Below are 22019 nucleotides of genomic sequence, written 5' to 3'. Positions count from 1 at the left end.
TGCCACAGTGGAGCGATCATAGATCACTGCAGCCTTGGACTTCTGGGCTCAAGTGATCTTCCCCTTTTACCCTCCCGAGTAGCTAGGACTACAGGCACAGAACACCACACCAGCTTATTTTAATTTTTTAGAGATGGGATCTCACTATGTTGCTTAGGCTGATTTCGAATGCCTGTCCTCAAGTGAGCCTCCCGCCTCAGCCACCCAAGCTCGAGATTACAGGCGTGAGCCACTGCACCTGGCCTGAACCGCCCTTCTCATTGCATCATACCAGGGGATACCTGACATCAACATGACCTATTACTGGTGATATTAACCTTGATCATTTGGTGAGGATGGTATTTCTAAGTTTCTCCACTGTAAAGTTATTTGGTAGACAGAAGCTAGAAAATATAGGTATGTATACTAACCCATGTATACTACACATCAATATTTATTTTGTATCTATCCATCTGTACATGTAGTAAAATACCCATTAGTTCATATTGATGTCTCTGACTAATCCAGTACCATATCTAGCCTTCCCTCTTGCTTCTTTATAACTTATTTTATCTTACTTATAACTTGTTATTTATTTATGTATTTGTTCACTCTTTGTATACTTGTGGTAAGAATTGCTAATCCATAACCCTGTGAGAATCAAATTGACTCCCTAGAATACACTCCCTAGAATACTCCCTGGAATGACTCCCTAGAATACTCCCTAGAAGTTTATTTATATTATTTTGGTCTTTAGACTACGTACCTGGTCAAACACCACCTTTCAAAGTTACTTGGTCACTTCCTCTTCTTCCACTCCTTTCAGGAAGGTTTTGTCATGCATTTGTAATACAGTTGGTTTCATTTGCCATGACCTGTATTCCATCCTGGATTCTCTATCATCCCATATTGTCTTTGATTTGCATCCAGTAAAGTTCACTCTGTGGTGTACAGTTCTATGGGTTTCCAGAAATGCATAAAGGCATGGCTTCTATCTGCACCACAGCACCCTAGAGAACAGTTCCATCACCCCCAAAATTTCCTTTGTAGTGAACTCATTCCCCCTCCCACAACCACTGACAGCTATGATCTGTTTTCCAGCCCTATGGTTTTACATTTTCTGGGATGGACTCATACAATATGTAGCCCTTTGTGTCTGACTTCTTTTATTTAGCAAAATGCATTGAAGAATCATCCACGTTGTTTCATTAATCAATGGTTCTTCATTTTTATTGCTGAGTAGTATTCCATTGCATGAATGCACCATGGTTTGTTTATCCATTCACCTGTGGAAGTACCTAGTGATTATTATGGCTTGCCTTTTCATTGTCTTAATTATGTATTTTGAGCAATGTAATTTGAAAATTTTTAATATACTCCAATTTATGAGTCTTCTCCTATGGTTTGTGCTTTTGTATATTGTTAAACAGTCTTTGCCCCCGAGATTATGAAGATATCCTCCTGTGATAGTTACCTAATGTTTTATTTTAGTCCTACATATTAGATCTATGATCAGTCTGGATTTGATTTTTGTGTATGGTGTGAGGTAGGATTATAAAGATTCATTTTTTCCCCATATGAATGTCCACTAAACCCAACATCACTTATGGAAAAGACTGTCCCTTCCCCCACAGCATTGCCATGTTATCTTTGTCATAAATCAGGTAGCCATATATGTGTGGGTCTGTTTCTGGAGTCTCCATTATGGCCATTGATCTATTTGTCTATCCTTGAACAAATACCATACCACATTAATTACTAAAGGCTTAGCATGCATATATATATATATATATATATATATATATATATATATTTTTTTTTTTTTTTGACATGGTCTCACTCTGTCACTCAGGCTGGAGTGCAGTGGCACAATCATGGCATGCTGCAGCCTCAGCCTCCTAGGCTCATTGATCCTTGTACCTCAGCCTCCCAAGTACCTGGAACTACAGGCGTGCAAGACCATACCTGGCCAATTTTTAATTTTTTTTGTAGAGACAGGGTCTCATTATGTTGCCTAGTCTGGTCTCAGACTCTGGACTGAAGCAATCCTCACCCTTTAGCCTCCCAAAGTGCTGGTGTGAGCCACCGCTCCCAGCCTAGGTCTTGATATCTAGTGGTATAAGTCCTCCAGCTTTGTTGTTCTTTAGGATTAACTTGGCTGTTCTTCACCCCTGCATTTCCACGTAAACTTTAGAATTGGCTTGTCAAGTCCTGCAAAATGGACTGGCTGGAAAACTTTAACTAGAACTGCATTAACTTTATGGATCAATTTGGAAAGAATCAACATTAATAATATTGAGCCTTCTAACCCATAAGTATATCTGAGGGGAGTTTTAAAAGGCACTAAAATACAAAAGGTTTTGTTACACCCTTCTCCCAGGACATGGGCTCTGCTCACCTAACCTTACACAGCCATGAGGCACTTTTTGGGCAGTGCCTTTCTGGGTGAGAGGGTGCTTCAGGTAAACTGAGGACTCCACTCAAGACTGAGGAAGGACTGACCTCTTCTATACCACTCTAACAGACACCTTCATCTACCTCTTTCTTTGACAAGTGCTTTACATCTGTGTAAAATGTTCAAAATATAAACATTAATCATATCATTTTATTTCTTTATTTGTTTATTTATTTATTTATTTTTGAGTCAGAGTCTTGCTCTGTCACCCAAGCTGGAGTGCAGTGGCACGATCTCGGCTCACTGCAACCTCTGCCTCCCGAGTTCAAGCAATTCTTCTGCCTCAGCCTCCGAGTAGCTGGGATTACAGGCGCTCACCACCACGCCTGGCTAATTTTTGTATTTTTTAGTAGAGACGGGTTTCGCCACATTGACCAGTCTGGTCTTGAACTCCTGACCTCAGGTGATCTGCCTGCCTTGGCCTCTCAAAGTGCTGGGATTACAGGAGTGAGCCACCATGCCTAGCAGCCACTGCGCCCAGTCAATAAACATTAATCATATCTTTTTTTTTTTTTTTTGAGACAGAGTCTCGCTCTGTCACCAGGCTGGAGTGCAGTGGCGTGATCTTGGTTCACTGCAACCTCTGCCTCCTGGGTTCAAACGATTCTCTTGCCTCAGCCTCCTGAGTAGCTGGGACTACAGGTGCACGCCACCATGTCCAGCTAATTTTTGTATTTTTAGTAGAGACAGGATTTCACCATGTTGGCCAGAATGGTCTTGATCTCCTGACCTCGTGATCCACCCACCTCTGCCTTCCAAAGTGCTCGGATTACAGGTGTGAGCCACCATGCCCGGCCAATCATATTATTTTAATAAGAGTGGGTAGCAGATACAATTCACAAAATAAAGTATGATTAGAAAATAAAAACACTAAATGAAGTCTAAATAGAAAAAGAAAACAAAAACACTAGTAATTAAGAAAATTTAGAGATGAGAAATTTTACATAAATTAATACTGTTTGATTTTTTTAATGAGCTCTTGAAAGTCCAAGTGCATCAATGACATCATCATTGAGTCACTAGCGTATTTTTGTGTGAATTTTTTCCAGCAACTGTAAAAAGCTTTTTTTGACTAGGCGCTAGTTGGAGAAATGGTGAGGAGATATTTTTAAGCTAGGTCCAAATATTTTTCCTCTGACTTTCATCTTCAAATCAAATCTCTTGTTCAATAACTTTAAGAAGATCTTTAAAAAAAGAAAACTTTTAGTTTTTTTGGCAGGGACTGCAATCTTTTTATTGTCGATAAACTGTAGTTTCTATTTCCAAAAAAACTCCCAGAATTTGGGGTTTATTTTCATCTACTTTAGTTTCATCACGTATAAATGGAGATCATACACTGAGTTACCTGTATAAATTGCTGTACTGACATGTTTGTATTCCCTTTGTTCAAAACGCCCTCAAACCAGGGTACATGTTATTCTTGAAATGGAAGCATTGCTTTGTCAACTGTCACTTCCTTCCTCCTCTGGAGGATTGAAGACTTCTAAAAAAGTGTGAAATTTCATACAGATGATAACTCTCTGGATAGGTCCCCAAATTTATTCGTTCAGATTTCAGACTATTAAAGTTATAGCATCAAAAATCTGGAATCCAGTAAACTGGACCTGTGATCTCTAATGAGGCTTGCTCTTTCAGCTTCCCCTTCTTGGCTGTTTTGTCTGCCTGGGGCTGGACTGAACCAGATCCGAGGACACCGGCTGAGCTGGCCTTTAGCTCAGGATGGAGAGCAGGGAGGGGCATGAGGCTGCCCCACCAGGGCCCCTAGAAACTCTCCCGCAGCACTATCGGTGCCCCTTTGACTGGAGCTGCTCTGTCTCAGGGGGGCTCATAACCTGAACTATCCCTTGAGACAGGGACCCTGGGAGAGAAGGAAGCTGCACCTTGTTGGACCAGAGACAGCCCTGGGACACTCTCCTGGCAGGTGCCTGCCAGGCCTTACAGCGAACTATACTAGCCACTCCTGGGTCCCCAGGACCCAATCGCAGCTCTGGTGAGCTCGGCCCTAGCCCTGCGGCCTGACATCTGCCCTGCCATCCTCTCAGGGACAGTGTCCCCTGCTCCATACTCGGATTCCTCACTGTTTCCCAAGCCCAGTTGCTCCGTGTCAGCTCCATCTTCTTTGACCTTCTCTCTTCTGCAGCCTCTGGTCCCGTGGCCCCCTCCCGTGCCTCTCACTTTCATAGTCACAGAGTCACAGAGTCATTTTTAGCCGGCTGCTGAGTTCTCCTGGGCCATGAGCCATTTCTTTAACTTCAATCTAGATTCTGTTTTTGCACTTTTTTTTTTTTTTGAGATGGAGTCTCCCTCTGTCACCCAGGCTGGAGTGCACTGTCGTGATCTCAGCTCACTGCAACCTCCGCCTCCTGGGTTCAAGTGATGCTCCTGCCTCAGTCTCTCGAGTAGCTGGGACTGCAGGCACGCACCATCACGCCCTACTAATTTTTGTATTTTTAGTTGAGATGGGGTTTCGTCATGTTGGCCAGGCTGGTCTCGAACTCCTGACCTCAGGAGTTCCGTCAGTCTCGGCCTGCCAAAGTGTTGGTATTACAGGCGTGAGCCACCGTGCCCGGCCAAAAAATGTTTTTTATTAAAGTAAGAATTTTAGAGGGATCCATTTCCAAGGTTTTCTATATTTTAATGGCCACTGCTTGGCCTTTGCTTTTTTTTTTTTGGCACCAGGCACCTTAGTGGAAATAGGGCAGGACAGGCTCAGGAGTCCTGGGTCTCAGGCCGGCTCTCCCACTTGCTGGCTGAGTCCCTCCCCTTCCCCAGGCCTCATTTCCACATCCGTGAGATGAGCAGGTTAGCCTAGATCACAAATCCCCCGCAATAATATGAAAAAATGAGAAACATGTACTCATCATATGTATATATTCATTTATAAACTGTATACATTTACTACTATACTAATCTGATATAATATCAAAATAAAAAAATTTAAGGACAAGCTAAAAACTACATAAAATATTTAACAAACAATTTTCCCTTTAATGGATATAGTAAGATTTCTTCCTTACACTATGCTATTGTTTACATATAGCTAATAATATTGTAAGGGAAAGCAATGTGGTTGGATATGCTTCATTATTCTTTGAAATCTTGCTTTAAGATTGAGCTAGAGCCATTCAGAGGTGTGGTTCTAGTTCAGTTTTTTTTTTTTTTTAATAGCTGTCGTAACTGATCCAAAGAGAGGAAATGTGTCATGGGCTATATGTCTTAAATCACGGCACTCATTTTCAACCCCATTCACCAATTAAAAGCTTTCAATTGAAATTAAGCTAGTAATTGTCTGTCTTCCCTTACATCAGTCAGTGGCTCTTACACTAAGTGGAAAGTATTATATTTTTATATTTTTAACAAATGGATTCAAAATCCACTGACATTCTTTATTTGGACAATATCCAAACAGGTCAGAAGAGTCTGTTTCTATATTTCCAGGTATGTAATATAAGCATTTCTATAGGTGATACACGTTTTTAACCACAAAAAATCCCATTTTAAAAATATTCTCTTCAAAGCATGAGTTTCTTTAGAAAAGCAATAACGCTAAAATGAGTCACCTTTACCTTGAAAAGTCAAATGAAATTGAGTTCATTTTTTGGTGGATATTTGCTAGGTAGCACACTGCCAATAGCTACTTGTCATCATGGAAAGGTCAGCAAATTTGGAACACTTGTCTTTTTGTGCCAGGAAAACATATAACTCATCTTTAAGTTTGATAGCTCTTTTAAGAACTCTTCCAAGAGCTAAGCAGTAAACCTCCATGTGGTTCAGAAGATTTTCATACTTACTTTCCTTCTAATTACAAATCACTGTATAAGCTTTACTTTTTTTTTTTTTTTTAGATGCAGTTTTGCTCTTTTTGCCCAGGCTGGAGGGCAATGGCGCAATCTCGGCTCACTGCAGCCCCTGCCTCCCAGGTTCAAGCGATTCTCCTGCCTCAGCCTCCCGAGTAGCTGGGATTACAGGCATGCGCGACCACGCCCGGCTAATTTTTTTTGTATTGTTAGTAGAGACGGGGTTTCACCATTTTGGCCAGGCTGGTCTTGAACTCCTGACCTCAGGTGATCCACCTGCCTCGGCCACCCAAAGTGCTGGGATTACAAGCTTGAGCCACCGTGCCTGGCCAAGTTTTACTATATTTTAACTCTTTTTTAAAAAAGAACCATTTCAATGCCTTCTGCTGTACTTTAGTTATTTCTGGGCTTACCTTCCTGACTGCAGTACCCGGCAGGAAATCCTGCAGGGAAGTCATTTGGCATGTGTTACCATCCTGCATCCTCACCCCAGAATTCTTTTCCATCCTGGAGCAGCCACCCCCCTCGATGAGTACCTTCACTTTTCCCCAGCAATGGTGTTTTTATTAAAGACATTCATTTACTATTCAGTCCATGTCTCTGTTTCCTTTCGTGGCTTGCAGAAATGTGGTTTTTCACATACAGAATCTAGGAAAACCACATTAGAAAATCTATACCTTTATTTAACTATTTAGCAAAGCTTTCACAGTGTGAAATTTGTTCAAATACTTATTTCTGTATATCTTAGGCAATATTTTCTCTGCATCTTCCAACGTGCTCACATGTTGTGTCATAGGTACTATTCGTGCTACCAGCAGCTACCACATCAACTGTCCTGTTTTCAGTCTCTATAAGACATGGTTTGTGTGTGTGTGTGTGTGTGTGTGTGTGTGTGCGCGCAGATAAGTCATGTGACATGGATCTAAGGAGTGTATTGGTGTCCTGGCAACCACCTCCCTCCCATCACTACTAGCAAAGACAAGGGGAGGTCCCCAGGGAAAAGAAGCTTGGTATCTCATTCCCTGGCTGGCTATGCGCTTGGGCAGTGAGCCTGTTGGCTTGCCTTGCACCCGCCTGAGCACAGGACAAGAAAATTGATGCAGGACTTCTTGTTATTTCTGCCTGGATGCTCATGATTTCTACCTCATAGAGAAGGACTCGTATTTAGAGTAGGAGAGGTTTCAGCTCTGACAATCTCTTGTTCATTTGCATTTGCATTATAACCATTATCTTCAATTGTGGCATCCTTGCAGGAATCTTGTGAAGTCACATATCCAACTGCAAGATTCATCCCCGGCACCCCATCATGCCCAGGGTCCTGGCTCAGTGAGCCACCATCTACTCCGATATTTACATTGTGGCTGTTGTCTTCATCTCAAACCCAGGACACAGTGTTTGTAATAGATGAGAGAGACCCAGGGAGACACAGCCCCGACCCTGATAGACCTCCTCCCTGCTCCTCCTGTCGCCCACAGGTCAACCCTTTCAGAGACCGTATCTGCAGAGTGTTCTCCCACAAAGGCATGTTCTCCTTTGAGGATGTGCTGGGCATGGCATCTGTGTTCAGCGAGCAGGCCTGCCCAAGCCTGAAGATTGAGTATGCCTTTCGCATCTATGGTAGGTGCTGTGGGGGACTGAGGGGTGAGGGGTGGAAAGGCCATAGAGAACATACCGTATCTGGACTCCATCATCAGTTCATTGATGGATGGCATTAACTGGGGTGTGCTTGGGTATCTGTGGGTCTGTGTCATATTTTGCATGTACCATGGAATAAAAAAAAAAGATTGAGAATGACAGCATCAATGGACAGACTCCCCTCGGTGTCATCAGAGGGCAATGGGGTCATTGGCGTTGATATTTGCTGGTAGTGTGTGGTGTGTGGGCAGGCGAGAGAGAGAGAGAATCACATATGCATGTAAAGGATTTATGCTTATTTGGCAGAAGGAGCGTTGGATGGGAAGTTAAGAAAATTTGAACAATCTTGGACAAATCGTTTCACCTTTCTGGGGCTCAGTTTTCTCATCTGTAAAATGAGGGGATAGGGAGAGATAATCTCTGAGGCACTTTGACATTTTTTGGTCTCTGTCTCTGTCTCGGGTAGTCACAAGACTCTGCTGAAGTTCTGCTCTTCACCAGGCAAATGTCTGCTTAGCACAGCTGGGATGCAAGGGAATTCTCAAAAGGAATCAAAAGGAAAGAAAGAAGTCTTAAGATGCTTTCAAACAAACCAGGTGCAAGTCTTCAGTGCATCCTGATAACTTTTTGGCCCCAAAGGACTTGCACATTTAGACTTGCTCATTCGCATCTCACGTTCCTTCCTTTCCTGCCAGCTCCTCCCCAGTCTCCACATGGTGGACTCCATCTCATTTCTGCCTCACCCAAGTGGGATGTGGATAGAAGACAGTAGAAGAGCTTTAAGCCAGAGGGACCTATGAGGCCTCAGTTTTTTCATCTGTAAAAAGGACTTAATATTTTTTATCTCATATGTCCTCAGGTTCAGCATTTGGTAAGCACACATGAAATCACAGAGTCCCCTCCTGAGAATGGCTGAGTAAACTCCTATCATAGGTCACTCCTGCAGATAGCAACTATAAAACTCTACATATAAAAATCAACTAGCTGATGGCATTGGAAAGCTACCAAAAGCGAGATGTGTTCTAGAGAGATCTGATGCCTGGAAGAAGGAAACGGTAGTGGATGGGTTTTCCTTCACCCACTTTTTTTATTTTTAACTTTTTTATCCTGAAGGTAGGCTTCAGTGAGTGGAAACACTGGACTCAGGCAGGCTGATGGAAACACTGGATTCTTTCTGACTTGAAAAGCCAGAGAGTTTGGGGCACACACAGCCCCTACAAAGTGAGGGAGAGCCTATGAAAGAGAAAGGGAGTCCAAATGTTGTGTGTAAACTACGCCCATATCTCTTTCTGACCTCTACACCACATACACGAGGGCAAACTCAAAGCAGCTCAGCTAAGGATAAAAGAACTAAACTGAGATTTGAGCTGCCACCACATTTTAACCAGATCCATGAGTGACAGGGTTTGCACTTTGAGTCGAAATCAATTGCCTGCTAAAACCAAAAATTCAGCAATCTTTGGAGAAATACAGAGTGTCTACAACAAAACATTTATAATATCCAAGAAGCTATTCAAAATTGTACACAATGTACAAAAATTTGTTTTCATTGATGAATTCTCAAGAATGGAGACTGACTGACATGACCTAGATGTTGGAATTAGCTAATAAAGATTTAAAATTAGCTATTATAACTGTATTAGTCAGGATTCTGCAGAGAAACAGAACCAATAGGCTATTTATATGTGTATATGTATGTGAGTGTATGTGTGGGTATATATAGTGTGTATATATATGTGTGTGTATATATGTGTGTGTATATATGTGTGTGTGTATATGTGTGCGTGTGTATATATGTATATGTATATATGTATATATACACACACACACATATACACACACACACACACATATCTCTACATATATATCTAGAAAGAGAGAGAGATTTATTCTAGGAACTGGCTCATGTGATTATGGAGGCTGAGGAGTCCCATCATCTGCTGTCTGCAAGCTGGAAAGCTAGGAAAGGCGGTAGCATAATTCATTCTGAAAGTCCAAGAACCAGGAGCATCAATGTCTGTGGATGGGAGAAGACGGATGTCTCAGCTCAGAGAGTACAAATTCATCCTTCCCCCACCTTTTTGTTCGTTGGACCCTCCATGGATGGAACAATGTCTAATTGGTGAGGACAGATCATCTTTACTCAGCCTATTGATTCAAATGCCAGTCTCTTCCGGAAACACCCTGACAGAGACACCCAGAAAGAATCTGTTGCCAGCTATCCGGGCAACCTTAGCTCAGTCAAATTGACACGTACCATTAATCATCACAATAATCATGCCCAAGGATGTAAAAACTGCTCATAACAAATGAAAAGATAGGAAATCTCAGCAAAGAAGTAGAAACTATAAGAAAGAATCAAATGGAAAATATAGAACTGAAAAATAAAATATCTGAAACAAAAATGCACTGGATGAGCTTAACGAGAGAATTGAGATAACAGAAGAGTCAGGAAACTTGAAGACAGAACAATAGAAATAACTTAATCTGAAGAACAGAGAGAAAAATTATTCAAGGGAAAGGGGAACAGAGCCTCAGAGACGTGCAGGACAATAGAAAGCTCTAACATGTATCTAGGTGGAGTCTGACAAGGAGAGGAGAGAGTGACCGGTGCAGAAAAGATATTTGAAGACATAATGGCCCCAAATGTCCTACATTTGATGTAAGACACAGATTTACAGTGAACTCCAAGCAGGGTATGTAGAAATTAAATCACATACCCAAATTCTGTTGGCTTCATGGGCCCCACCTGTCCACACCAGCGTTCCCCCTTCCTTACCACAAGTATTTCTGGGAGTTTCCATGGGGATCCCAATGCATCCAGGGAGTTGGAGCCCTCTAGCCGCTGCTCCTCTCGGCCAGGCCTCCCACAGGTGGCAGCCGTGCTGGCTCAAGCCCCCATCAGTGCTCTCTGGCTGGGGTCGCTCCTCTGGGAAGATGCCAGCCCAGGCTTGCTGTTTCTGTCTTAGCCAAGAGTCTTTCGGTTGCAAACCACAGAAACTTACCTATGTAAATGCCACTGATAAGAACCAGCACTAGATGAGTTTTCCATTGTGTAAGAAATTACCACAAGCTTAGAGGCTTTAGATTACATACATTAGTAACCTCACAGTTTCTGTGGGTTAGGAGTCCAGGCATCACTTAGTTGGGTCCTCCTCTTAGGGTTTTGCAAGCTGCCATCAAGGTTCTGGCCGGGGTGCCTTCTCACCTGGAGGGCGCTTGACTGGGGGAATCTGCTCATGAGCTTGCCCACGTTGTTGGCAGAATTTACTTCCTTGTGTCTGCAGGACTTAGGGCCTTGACTTCTTGCCGGCTCTCAGCCGGAGGCTGCCCTCAGCTCCTGGACACATGGGCCTCTCAACCTGGCCACTTGCTTCTTTAAAGACAGCCAGGGGGAGAGACTCTTGAGTCACCCCACTGGCAAGATGGAGTCATAAAAGACAGCGTGATGGTGGAGGTGACAGCCCATCACTTTTGCCAAGTTCCATTGGTTACAAGCAAGTCACAGTTCCCACCCACACTCAAGGGGGTTGGGGATTATACGAAAGCCTGAGCACCAAGATGTGTGGCTCTTAGGAGAGAGGTCACTAGAGTTCGTCTGCCAAGAGCACTATGGAGCCCATGGTGGAAGTGAGGCAGGACTCCTGGGGCCCTAGGGCACAGCTGGATGAGAGTCAGGAAGCCAGGCAGCTGCAGTCTCCTCTCCATGGCTGCCTCGTCTCTCATCTCTGCCTCTCTCTGTGGGCTTTCCTTCTCCTTCTGCAGATCTGCTATGCCTCTGTGCCCACAGGCCAAAGATGACTCCCCGGCCCCCACATGGCCTGTAGGCTTCACTCTGAGTAGCCACAAGCATCTCTGTTTCTCCCTTCTGTTTTCTCACCCAGCCAGTGATCTAGCTTCCCCTGGGATAGGTGACCAGCCTTGCCCAATCACCTGCAGCCAAAAAGAAGCAGAGTTGTGAAACAAGCATGGCTCCAGAGGCCTGCCACTGGGGTGGGGACACTTCTCAGAGACGGTAGAGCGTAGGCTGGGCAGAGGCCACAAAAGACGTCTGCCTCCGCTGACTTTCCATGGTTTCCTGAGCTAAACAAACAAAAACACTCAAACCCTTCAGGAGCGAGGTGAGCAGAAGGTTCTCCTTGGGCTTCAAGGCACAAGCTAAATCGTGTTCAGCTGCGACATGGGGAGAACACCCACTGTCCCCAGAGGTCAGACTGAGAGCCTCAGGGTAGATCAAGGACTAGACACCACAATATCCCCCACAATGTCTTTGTATCTTTCTCCCCACTCTCTCTCCAGGCCCCTTGCAGCACAGAGGTTCCTTCCTCCAGCCTCAGCACAAACACAAAAAGTTCAAAGCCTTCATGCAAATCAGCTGTGCAAATAGATGCTCAGGGGCTCATAAATGCCCAGGCTTCATCAGATAGACTCAGACAACCCTGAATTCTCTCTGGGCTCGGAAGGTTTCTTTACAGAGCTGTCAGCAAGATTAGAGATGGGACACGTGGATCCTGAGCCTGCGTAGTAAGTCGAGGGGGGAGTGGTCCACAGTGAAGGATGAAGAAGGATCAAAAAAGAGGGGAAAGGAGACAGAAAGGGAAAGGAGAAGGCGGGCATGGTAACTGTCATGGTGATGATTCCGTCCAAAGACGGAACTCAGTGCTCCGGCCCCTTGCTACCCCCGGTGTGGCCCACAGAGCAGCAGTATCAGCACTGCCAGGAAGCTTATCAGAAATGCAGAGCCCCAGGCCCTACTCCACCCACTGGATCTGAATCTGCATTTTAGCAAGATTCCTCTGTGCTTTAACGTCTAAGAAGCATTGATCTAACCCACTGCTTCTCACACTTGGCTGTACATTGAATCACCTGTGAGTTTTTTTTTTTTTTTTTTTTTTTTTTACAGATGCTTGGGCCCCAGCTCCAGGGACCTGATGGAATGGTATTGGGTATGTCCTGGTCCCTGGGCTTTTTGGAAGCTCCCTGGATGGCTCGAATGAGCAGCAGACTGTGAGAACTGTTGCTCTAAACTGCTGCAGGAGCTAGGGTTGCATTCAGTGATGTGGAGCAGTGGCCATGGTATTACAAAAAAGAAAAAACAAAGTCTGGAGTCAGGCAGTCCAGAGTTGGGGCAATGGCTTCAGGAGGTTACTGAGGGCCCAGGCTCCTTCAAGCTTCCTGTTCTGCCAACAGTCGGGGACCATTATCCTCATAGTCACAACATGGCTTCTGTGCCCAAAGACATCTCATCTTCATTTCAGGAAGAAAAGGTGATAGGAGAAGGGATCAGGACAAAAGTACGTCCAAAGTGCAGCTAAGTCCACTCTCCTTTCACAAGCTTTCTTGGAAGCCCCACCCGGCATTTTTGGTTTATATTTCATTGGCTAGAACTATGTCACCTGGCTACCCATAGCTGCAAAGGAGACTTAAAACATCCAGCTACACATTTTAAGCTGGACATGGTGTCATCCTGAAAAGAAACTGCAGTTATGTTAGTAAGAAAGACAGGAGAATGGCTTTTGGTCAAGAATCCAGCAGGGGCTGGGTGCAGTGGCTCACACCTGTAATCCCAGCACTTTGAGAGGCTGAGGTGGGTGGATCACCTGAGGTCAGGAGTTTGAGACCAGCCTGGCCAACATGGTGAAACCCCGTCTCTACTAAAAATACAAAAACTAGCTAGGCATGGTGGCAGGCACCTGTAGTCCCAGCTACTCAGGAGGCTGAGGCAAGAGAATCACTTGAACTTGTCAGGCAGAGGTTGCAGTGAGCTGAGATTGTGCTACTGCACTCCAGCCTGGGGAAGAAGAGTGAGACTCTGTCTCAAAAATAGAAGAAGAAGGAGAAGGAGGAGAAGGAGAAGGAGAGGAGGAGGAGGAGGAAAGAAGGAGGAGGAGGAAGGAGAATAGGAGGAAGGAGAAGTAGAAGAAGAGGGGGAGGAGGAGGAAGAAGAAGAGGAAGGGGAAGGGGAGGAAGAGGAAGAGGAAGAAGGAGAAGGAGAAGGGGAAGGGGAAGGGGAAGGAGAAGAAGAAGAAGAAGAAGAAGAAGAAGAAGAGGAAGAAGAAGAAGAAGAAGAAGAAGAAGAAGAAGAGGAAGAGGAAGAGGAAGAAGAAGAAGAAGAAGAAGAAGAAGAAGAAGAAGAAGAAGAAGAAGAAGAAGAAGAAGAAGAAGAAGAAGAAGAAGAAAGAAGAAGCGGCAGCAGCGGCAGCAGCCAGCAGGGACAGCCACACCTCCCTGGAGCTTACCTACTGGCCTCCATGTCCTGCTCTGAGAGACACTCTGGTCTCCAACTGCTCACTCTCCTCTCTCTGTACCTCTGGAGACAGTTTCCACTGGTGAGAGACCACCATCCCAGCAATGTCTTCCTGCTCCCATCAGCACAGCCTCCACCAGTTAGGAATTATCCCCAGGCAGGTACCGGAGCACCTTTGGCAGGTCTCCCCATACCTTCCCAGGGACTGACGCCACGGCAGGTGCAGGTGGCTGGGGAGAGGCAAAGGAAGAAACCTCAGTTCTCACAAAAGTCACGGTGAAAGGAGCCCTCCCTCCACCACAGGTTGATTTCTGTAAAAGTCCTGGGAAACTGCAAGTAGTAAGAATGACAGAGACTTCGAGTGACAATGGTCAGAGTCTTTGGGGGGACTGAAGGCTGAGCCCTGACTCCACCAGCTCTCTGAGCCCCTCCTAGCATTGTTGGGAGACAGCAAGAAGAAGGCTCTAGCCCCTCCCAAGTGGTCTGAGGCTGCAGAGGCCGCCTGGGCTGGTCAGCCTCCCGGAGCTCTCAGCCCCCAGCCCCTCCCAGGCTGCCCTGTCCTTGCCACCCCCAAAGGAGGGGAACTGTCCAGGAATACATTTACTCTAGCAAATTATTCTGTTTCCAGATGGCTTGGGGCCAAAGCCATGTCATTTGCTGCAGTCTCTGCATAGAAGAGCTGGGCCAGCAGGACGCCTGGGGACACCGCAGGGTCTCTGAGAGGCTGCAGAGGTTCCCAGCAGCAGTGTAGTGTCACTGCAGCTGTCCACGGTCTCCAGGCCCTGGGGCTGGTCCCTTCGCCCCCTTCACCTGCTCTGAGCCATTTCCCATGGAGGTGGTAGCAGAGCCTGTGCAGGGAGAGAGGCTCCAGTCCTGACACTGACAAGCATTCAGCCAGGGAAGGGGCACTGCTGGAGGAGTGAGGGGAACTTACACCTTCCACACCCATATCCTGCCATGGGGAACAGAGACAAGTCTTGGCTCTGCCACCAAAGGACCCTGTGACATGAGCAAACCTGGGCCTTAGTTTCTCTAGTAGAAATGAGTATGGAAACTGGTAGAAACCAATATAGCTCTAGTTCCTTTCCTTCAAGGTGGGTTTATAAAGCCTCTTTGGTTTGCACTTTTAGTGTTTAGCAATCAAGTGATGTAGAATTGAGCCTCTTAGTATAAAAGATATATATAACTATACTAAGTTATAGCTTTGTATATTTACTAAGTAGTGATGATAACTATATATACTAAGATATCTTAGTATAGAAGATGCTTATTAGATATAACTAATATGCTTATTCTTATTTATATCTAACCTTCTATACTGAATATCTTCTATATTCCAGGTGATGTCCATGTATTTTCTTATTTAATCTCCACAGCAACTCTGCAGAGGTACTGCTATTACTCCCGTTTTACAGATGAGGAAACTGAGACTCAGATAATGAATTAGGATTAAATTTGGTGGCCAAAGACAGTATAACACAGGTAGCAGTGGCTTAAGCAAGATAGCTTCCAAGATTGCTGAAAGCTATATATTTATTTATCTAATATGTAGAAGTCAAGAGATAGTTACCCATAGTGGTTCTTTTTTTTTTTTTTTTTTTTTTTTGAGACGGAGTCTTGCTCTGTCGCCCAGGCTGGAGTGCAGTGGCGTGATCTCACTCACTGCAAGCTCTGCCTCCCAGGTTCATGCCATTCTCCTGCCTCAGCCTCCCGAGTAGCTGGGACTACAGGCGCCAGCCACTACGCCCGGCTAATTTTTTGTATTTTTAGTAGAGACGGGGTTTCACTGTGTTAGCCAGGATGGTCTCAATCTCCTGACCTAGTGATCCACCTGCCTTGGCCTCCCAAAGTGCTGGGATTACAGGCGTGAATGTAATCCACAGTGTAATCCACCGTGCCGGGCCAGTTACCTATTCTAAAGCTCTCAGTGTCAGGGATCCCAGGTCCTCCTGTCTTGTCGCTTTATCCTTCATTCCCAAGGTCACCTCATTATCCCAGACGACCACACCTTCTCTTTATAGATGGTCCCAGAAGTTGTCTGTGCCTCTTCTGCTTACACTTCATCGGCCAGAACATGGTCACATGGGCACATCTAGCAGCAACGGAGGCTGGCAAATGTAGTGATTGTTTTGGGTGATCCTCTGCCCATGAAAGATTGGCGCTTTATTGCAACAAAGGCAGTTAGGGGTAGTTAAGAGCATAGACTTCCCATTAAGTGAGACTGCCTGGGTTTAATCCTGTCTCCATCACTTACCAATGGTTACCCTGGGTAGTTCATTCGTTATTTATTCAACAACAGCCATTGAGCGTCTACTCTGTCCCAGGCATTGTTCTGGGCACTTGGGATATAGCAGTGAGCAAAAAGACAAAGATGTCTGCCCTTGTGGAATTTATATGCAAGTGGAGGGAAATAAACGAGCTAATAACACGTAGTGTGTTGGGGAGTATTCTGTGATGGGAGAAGGACAAAGCTGGGAAGACATAGGAAGTGCATGTTTTCACAGGGGCTGGGTGATGCCCTAGGAGGAGCCGACACTTGAATAAAGACCTAGAGGATCTCTGGGTGAGAGTGTCCCGAGGAGGGGGAGCCTCCGTGCAAAGGCCCTGAGGCAGGATTGTGTCTGGCTTGACTGAGCAAGGAGGCAGAGTGAGGGCGGGCTGACTTGGGGATTAGGACTTGGGCTCCGCTCTGGGTGACACAGGGCTGCAAGAAGAGGGCAATGAGGAAGGAATGACGATCAACAGATCACCCGGGCTGCTGTGTTGGGAATAGACTTCCGGGGGCAGAGAGAGAGGAGGGAAGCTCAGCAAGAGACTGCCAGGGTGAGCTGGAGAGAGGCAACGGTGGCTGGGCTAGGGTGGGGTAGTGCATGGGAAGTGCGGGGAGCTGGGAGGATTTGCCAACCCATCGCCTGTGGGGTGCAAGGGAGAGAGGTAAGGGTGACTCCAGGTTGGCCTGAGTGGCTGGAAGAGTCCTGAAGAGTCCCACTTCCTAGGGAGGGGACAGCTGTGAGTGCAGCAGGTCTAGAGGTAAGGGCTGGGGAGGGGAGCATGAGGAGCCTGGGCTTGGACAGGTAGCATATGAGGGACTATTGGGTAGGAGCAGGAAGGCAGGTGCATATGTGAGCCTGGAGTTCGGGGAGAAACCCAGGGTGGAGACATACATTTGGCATTCATTAGCCTATAGGTGATATTTAAAGGTTGCAATGAGCTGAAATGAGATTAAGGAGGTAAGTAGGGTTATTTAATCTGTGCATGCCTCAGTTTCATAATCTCTGAAGGATTAAATGCAGTGAACTGCAAAGCGCTTAGACCACTGCCTGGCCACAGCGAAAACATCTGTGCTTGCTGTGGTGGTGATTATTATAATTCACTCAGGCAGCTGTGTTTACCACCCGGCCCATCCAGTGAGGGGCTTGGGTGACTGCTGGGAGCTCTAGGGGAGTGGTGCTGAGAAGGCCGGACATCACCTCACCTGCCATTCAAGGCCTTCACAGCTCGGCCTGCCTTCCAGACTTAACCCCTGATGCTTCTCCACCCAGGCCCTCCCCGCACCCTCTGCTCCCCTCACACCATGCCAGTCACTCCTGCCAAGCACCCCAGGGTGGCTCCTCTGCTGCTGTCCCTGCCTGGCATCCCAGGGTGGCTCCATCTCTGCCGCCGTCCCTGGCTCCCCAGGGTGCCTCGGTCTCTGCCCGCTGGTGGCCTGGCACCTCCTCCACCCACCGTCCCTCCAGGTCATGCTCTTCCAAGGTCTGTTGAGAAGACCCATTTAGGCAGCCCTGAGGGATAAAGGACACCCCTCAAGGTGGCTCTGTGGGAAATAGGGTCAGGTGGACCCTGACTGTTCAGTACTCAGGAGGTTTATGTAATGACCATATTTTATGGCCCTAAAAGGAGGACCCAAGGCCTGGCCAGGCTCAGGGCAGCACTCCCCGACTGGCGGGACGGTGGGTGGGCACTTCTGAGCGCTGTCCTGGAAGGCAGGGGCCCTGGGCTGTGGCTGCAGTTGAGGAACTAGCAGCCGGCACACACGGGAGTCAGTGCGGCCCCCAGAAGTCTGGGAAGTCCCGGTGCTGCCCCCACTGCCACCCACCCCAGAGTCCCCAGGGCTCCCCACGGCCGGAACCCTCTGTGCACACCAGGGCCACGGCAGCATCCTGGGTTATTTTACAGGGGGATGTGAAATGTAAGGAGCCTGCCATGGTCTGCAGGCTCCCTGTCACATTACCCTTTATCTGACAGCTGTGGCTTGCCTGGGATGAAGAAATGGTGCCCATTCTTGCCCAATTCTGGACTCCATTTCAGGAAGGAGGATGCACGGGGTTGGAGGGAATATTGCCTCTTGTCCCCTTAACCCTTTGAGGGCATAGCCAGGGTCAGTATGGCCAGCCCCACTGTGGACAGTCTACAAGGACCATTGTCCCCCTTCACTGCAGAGGTGAGGGCACATGCCCAGATCACAGAGCTACCACATCGGGACAGGAGCAGGGACTGGGATCCAGGCCTTCTGACTTCAGATCCAGGCCACCCTCTGCTCCACACTGCCTGGCTCCCAGCCACCAAAAGACACCCTGGCTTCTGAATTGTGAGATGGAGAGTTGCAAAGCGCAGGGGTGGATATGGGGCTCGGAGGTCAGCCTGGCTGGGTTTGAATCTCCCCTTCCACTTCCTGGTGCTGCAGACAACCATATAACCCTCTGTGCCTCAGTTTCTTTTTGGTAAAAGACTAATAAAAGGTTGATTGTGAAGATTCAATGACTTAAAGCTCTCAGGAGAGGTCTGAGCATGTAGTACACACACGATCGATACTTACTACCATTGGTATTTCCGACGGGTTATTTAGCACATACGTGTGACCCACCTGGGAGAGTTGGGCTCTGGGGGGCCTCCCAGAGGCTAATGGGCATCTGTGGGGTCCTGGCTGGTGCTGTGTCCCCCAGGACTCCTCAAGTCCTCTTCCTGTTTAGCCCCCAGCTCCGTCTAATGCAGGCCTGGCCTCTTCTTTGCAGATTTTAATGAGAATGGCTTCATTGATGAGGAGGATCTGCAGAGGATCATCCTGCGACTGCTGAACAGTGATGACATGTCTGAGGACCTCCTGATGGACCTCACGAACCACGTGTGTGCTGGGGGCTGGGAGTTGGTGGCTGGGGCCGGGGATAGGGGCCAGGTTGTCACCCAAAGCCCCCGGATGTCAGGCCACCCTCTTGGGAGGAGACCCAGGGCCAGCCTGAGGCAGATGACACATTGGCCTTTGGTGCACACATTCCCTGGGGGCTGCCAAGGGGACAGGCAGCTCAGGGTGCCCTGAGGAATGGGCACACAGCTGGAGGCAACTGCCCCTCCACTTTCTGTCCTTCCTCCAAGTCCTTTCCAGGGTCCCCAGAACACGGAGCCCGACCCACCCACTCGAGGGGCCTCCCTACATGACAGGGACTGCCATTGGTGGGCCAACAACAGCTCAACCTCAGAGGGACCCATCTCAACATCCCCTCCCCACTCTGTCCCAGCACAACACAGTGCCCAGGTGTCCTGGAGTGACAAACACGAGGACGGCCCTGCAAACTCAAGTCAGGGCATGGATCTCTGCTTTCAGAACATGACAAGTGTCCAGCATTTCCAGTCTCGATGGGGACTAGAAGATAAAACCATAAGCACTGTTGAGGGAGTCACCACCGCCTCCCTGCCTGCCTGGGCCCCCTTCAGTGCAGAGCCCCTGTGTGTACTGGTTGGTGGGGCAGGTGGGGGACACTCTTGTTCTCTCACTGCCAGGCTCGTGCTGGAGGCCCCAGGAGTGAGAGGCAACCAGTAGGGTCCCAAACTTTGGTGCACATAACCTAATCTCTGTGGGGTCACTGGGGTCAGGGGACCCAGGAGACAAGTGTTAAGCATGTGGGAGAGCCCCTGGCATGTGGCTTTCCCCCTCCACCCTGTGCCCCACCTCACTGCCTGACATGGGGTTCCACTCAACTGTCTTCTGTGCTCCCTCGCCAGGTCCTGAGTGAGTCGGATCTGGACAATGACAACATGCTGTCCTTCTCAGAGTTTGAACATGCAATGGCCAAGTCTCCAGATTTCATGAAGTAAGGCATTCTGGAGGGGGTGAGACTGTCCAGGAGAGTGGTGGGGGCAGGAAGGGCCCCCAGTCTCTCCTCACTCCATGGGACATCTCAGTCTTCCCAAGAAGGCTGTGAGTTTCCAGAATACTTTGCAGATTCTTTCAGAGTCAGCAAAACTGGAGATTCTGAGAAATTAGGTAACCCTGGGGTATTAAAAGGCAGAGGAGAGGACTGGATCCCAGGCTTTGGGAATGACGTCACAGCTCCAACCTCAGAGCATTCCCTGTGCCAGCTGACACACCTCTGTGCTTCTCCCAAAGCCCACTAGGCTCCTGACGACCCCACTGCCTCCAGCGGCCAACTGGGAGGTAGGGGTTTACAGGGGGGATCTGAAGATGCTGGTGGTGGAGCTCATAGAAAAGAAACAATGAGAGAAGCACCCAATTCTATTTCTTAGAGCAGGAGGGGCCCAAAGGGTCTTCTGAGGCCCAAACGTCCTTGAGAAGGCTGGCCATCTCCAGATCTCCCTGGCCACGTTGAAGTCTTTTTGGGGTGCTGCTGCTTTCGGGAGATGCGTGCCCCCTGGAGGCAGCGCGTGCCATGGAGGACCAGCCGGGTGGAGCTGGCGTCTCCTGCTCCTGGGTCCGACTCTGCCCCTGGTCTCAGAGGTGCGCTGATTTCAAGTATGCCCACTCAAGGTGCTTTTACAGACTAAGGGAAACAGAGCAAAGAGCTAGACCTCAGCCAGCACCAGGGCAGGAGCCCGGGGCTGCTGGGTCCCTCTGTGCCAACGTCTCTGCCTCCCATCGCCCCTCCACGCTCACTCTGTGCTGTGCACCAGCTGTCTCCGCTTTGTCAGACATAAGACCATGCACGGCCTCCCTGCAGTGGTCAAGTTTATACCTCCTTGGTCTTGAGTGACTTTCAGTGACTCCTGAGTAACACCTCTCAGCTCTGACTCCAAATCCCCAGAGACAGAATCTGAGTGGCCATGGTCAGGGGTCCTCCCCTCTTCTGACTGCCTGGATGAGGAGGGGGCTCCTCATTCCAACAGGCCTGCTAGGGCCTGTGGCCTGGGTGGCCCCTCTCTAAGGATGCACACTTGGGACCACCCCAGCCAAAGCTAACTCCTCTTGTTCTGTCACAGCCCAGCACATAATTGAAGCTGGCACCCCGACTGCTCAGAGTTTCTCTTTGAATCTCTTCCATTTCTTTCCACTGATTCGAGCACCACAAGGTTCCTTCTGGTGCCCTGCCTTTGCCTTGGGGTGATGCTGAAAGAAGCTTAAAGAAGGTTTGGGGTTGCTTTGGGATGGCTGCAAAGTGGCCGTCACCCAGAGAAAGGGACACGAGATGCAGGCCGGGGAGGGAGCCTCCAGGACTACTGTGAACCCAGGAGTCAGAGGGCCCCTTGGACCTGCGGGCTCACATGGCTCACGGGATTCTTTCTTTCAGCTCCTTTCGGATTCACTTCTGGGGATGCTGATGTAGCGGCAAACACCTGACATGGCAGCCTCGAGGGAGACCACAGGAATCGAACCCCCTCCAGCACTGGAGGGAGCTGGTTTGAAGTATGACTTTGTACTGGGCCCACACTCACCTCTAGAATATTGTTTATTAGATAAAAGAAAAAGCTTTTCCTTAGCCCATCAGATCATCGCTTTTTAAATGCAGGGTCATACATGGTACTTTTTATTAAGAACTGCCCTTTCCAGGGCTTCAGTGTGCCAGCGATGTCAAGCAGGCTGGGGTGGCAATCTTTCTGAGGGAATAGTTCAAATCTCAACCCATGTCATAGCAGGGGGCCAAGCCAAATGGGATGAAGGTCCCTAGCAAGATACATG

General features: G+C 47.8%; 1 protein-coding gene across 4 annotated transcripts in view, besides 3 other annotated features; it reads left to right on the top strand.

The window, feature by feature from the left end:
• Positions 1 to 21819, top strand: part of CIB4 (calcium and integrin binding family member 4) — a 60162-nt gene extending 38343 nt beyond the window's left edge. For all 4 annotated transcript variants that reach the window (NM_001029881.3, XM_011532514.3, XM_017003329.2 and 1 more), the window contains 4 exons: positions 7707 to 7848; positions 19126 to 19235; positions 20111 to 20199; positions 21631 to 21819. In NM_001029881.3, the coding sequence (NP_001025052.1) occupies positions 7707 to 7848; positions 19126 to 19235; positions 20111 to 20199; positions 21631 to 21661 (372 nt within the window). In that variant the 3' untranslated portion in view covers positions 21662 to 21819. The remainder of the gene's footprint in view (positions 1 to 7706; positions 7849 to 19125; positions 19236 to 20110; positions 20200 to 21630) is intronic.
• Positions 4356 to 4856: an enhancer, noted in NCBI's record as "H3K4me1 hESC enhancer chr2:26821036-26821536 (GRCh37/hg19 assembly coordinates)". NCBI's record gives its function as "activates a minimal SCP1, AML or CMV promoter by ChIP-STARR-seq in naive H9 embryonic stem cells {active_cell/tissue: H9 hESC(naive)}" and the evidence as "EXISTENCE:reporter gene assay evidence [ECO:0000049][PMID:30033119]".
• Positions 10689 to 11432: an enhancer, noted in NCBI's record as "H3K4me1 hESC enhancer chr2:26814460-26815203 (GRCh37/hg19 assembly coordinates)". NCBI's record gives its function as "activates a minimal SCP1, AML or CMV promoter by ChIP-STARR-seq in primed H9 embryonic stem cells {active_cell/tissue: H9 hESC(primed)}" and the evidence as "EXISTENCE:reporter gene assay evidence [ECO:0000049][PMID:30033119]".
• Positions 11433 to 12177: an enhancer, noted in NCBI's record as "H3K4me1 hESC enhancer chr2:26813715-26814459 (GRCh37/hg19 assembly coordinates)". NCBI's record gives its function as "activates a minimal SCP1, AML or CMV promoter by ChIP-STARR-seq in primed H9 embryonic stem cells {active_cell/tissue: H9 hESC(primed)}" and the evidence as "EXISTENCE:reporter gene assay evidence [ECO:0000049][PMID:30033119]".
• Positions 21820 to 22019: the final 200 nt, after the last annotated feature.

The sequence above is a fragment of the Homo sapiens genome, chromosome 2 (genome assembly GCF_000001405.40).
Source record: "Homo sapiens chromosome 2, GRCh38.p14 Primary Assembly".
In the NCBI taxonomy this organism is placed as follows: Eukaryota; Metazoa; Chordata; class Mammalia; order Primates; family Hominidae; genus Homo; species Homo sapiens.
The sequence above is the reverse complement of the archived record's forward strand: the minus strand, read 5'-3'. Positions and strand labels throughout refer to the sequence as shown.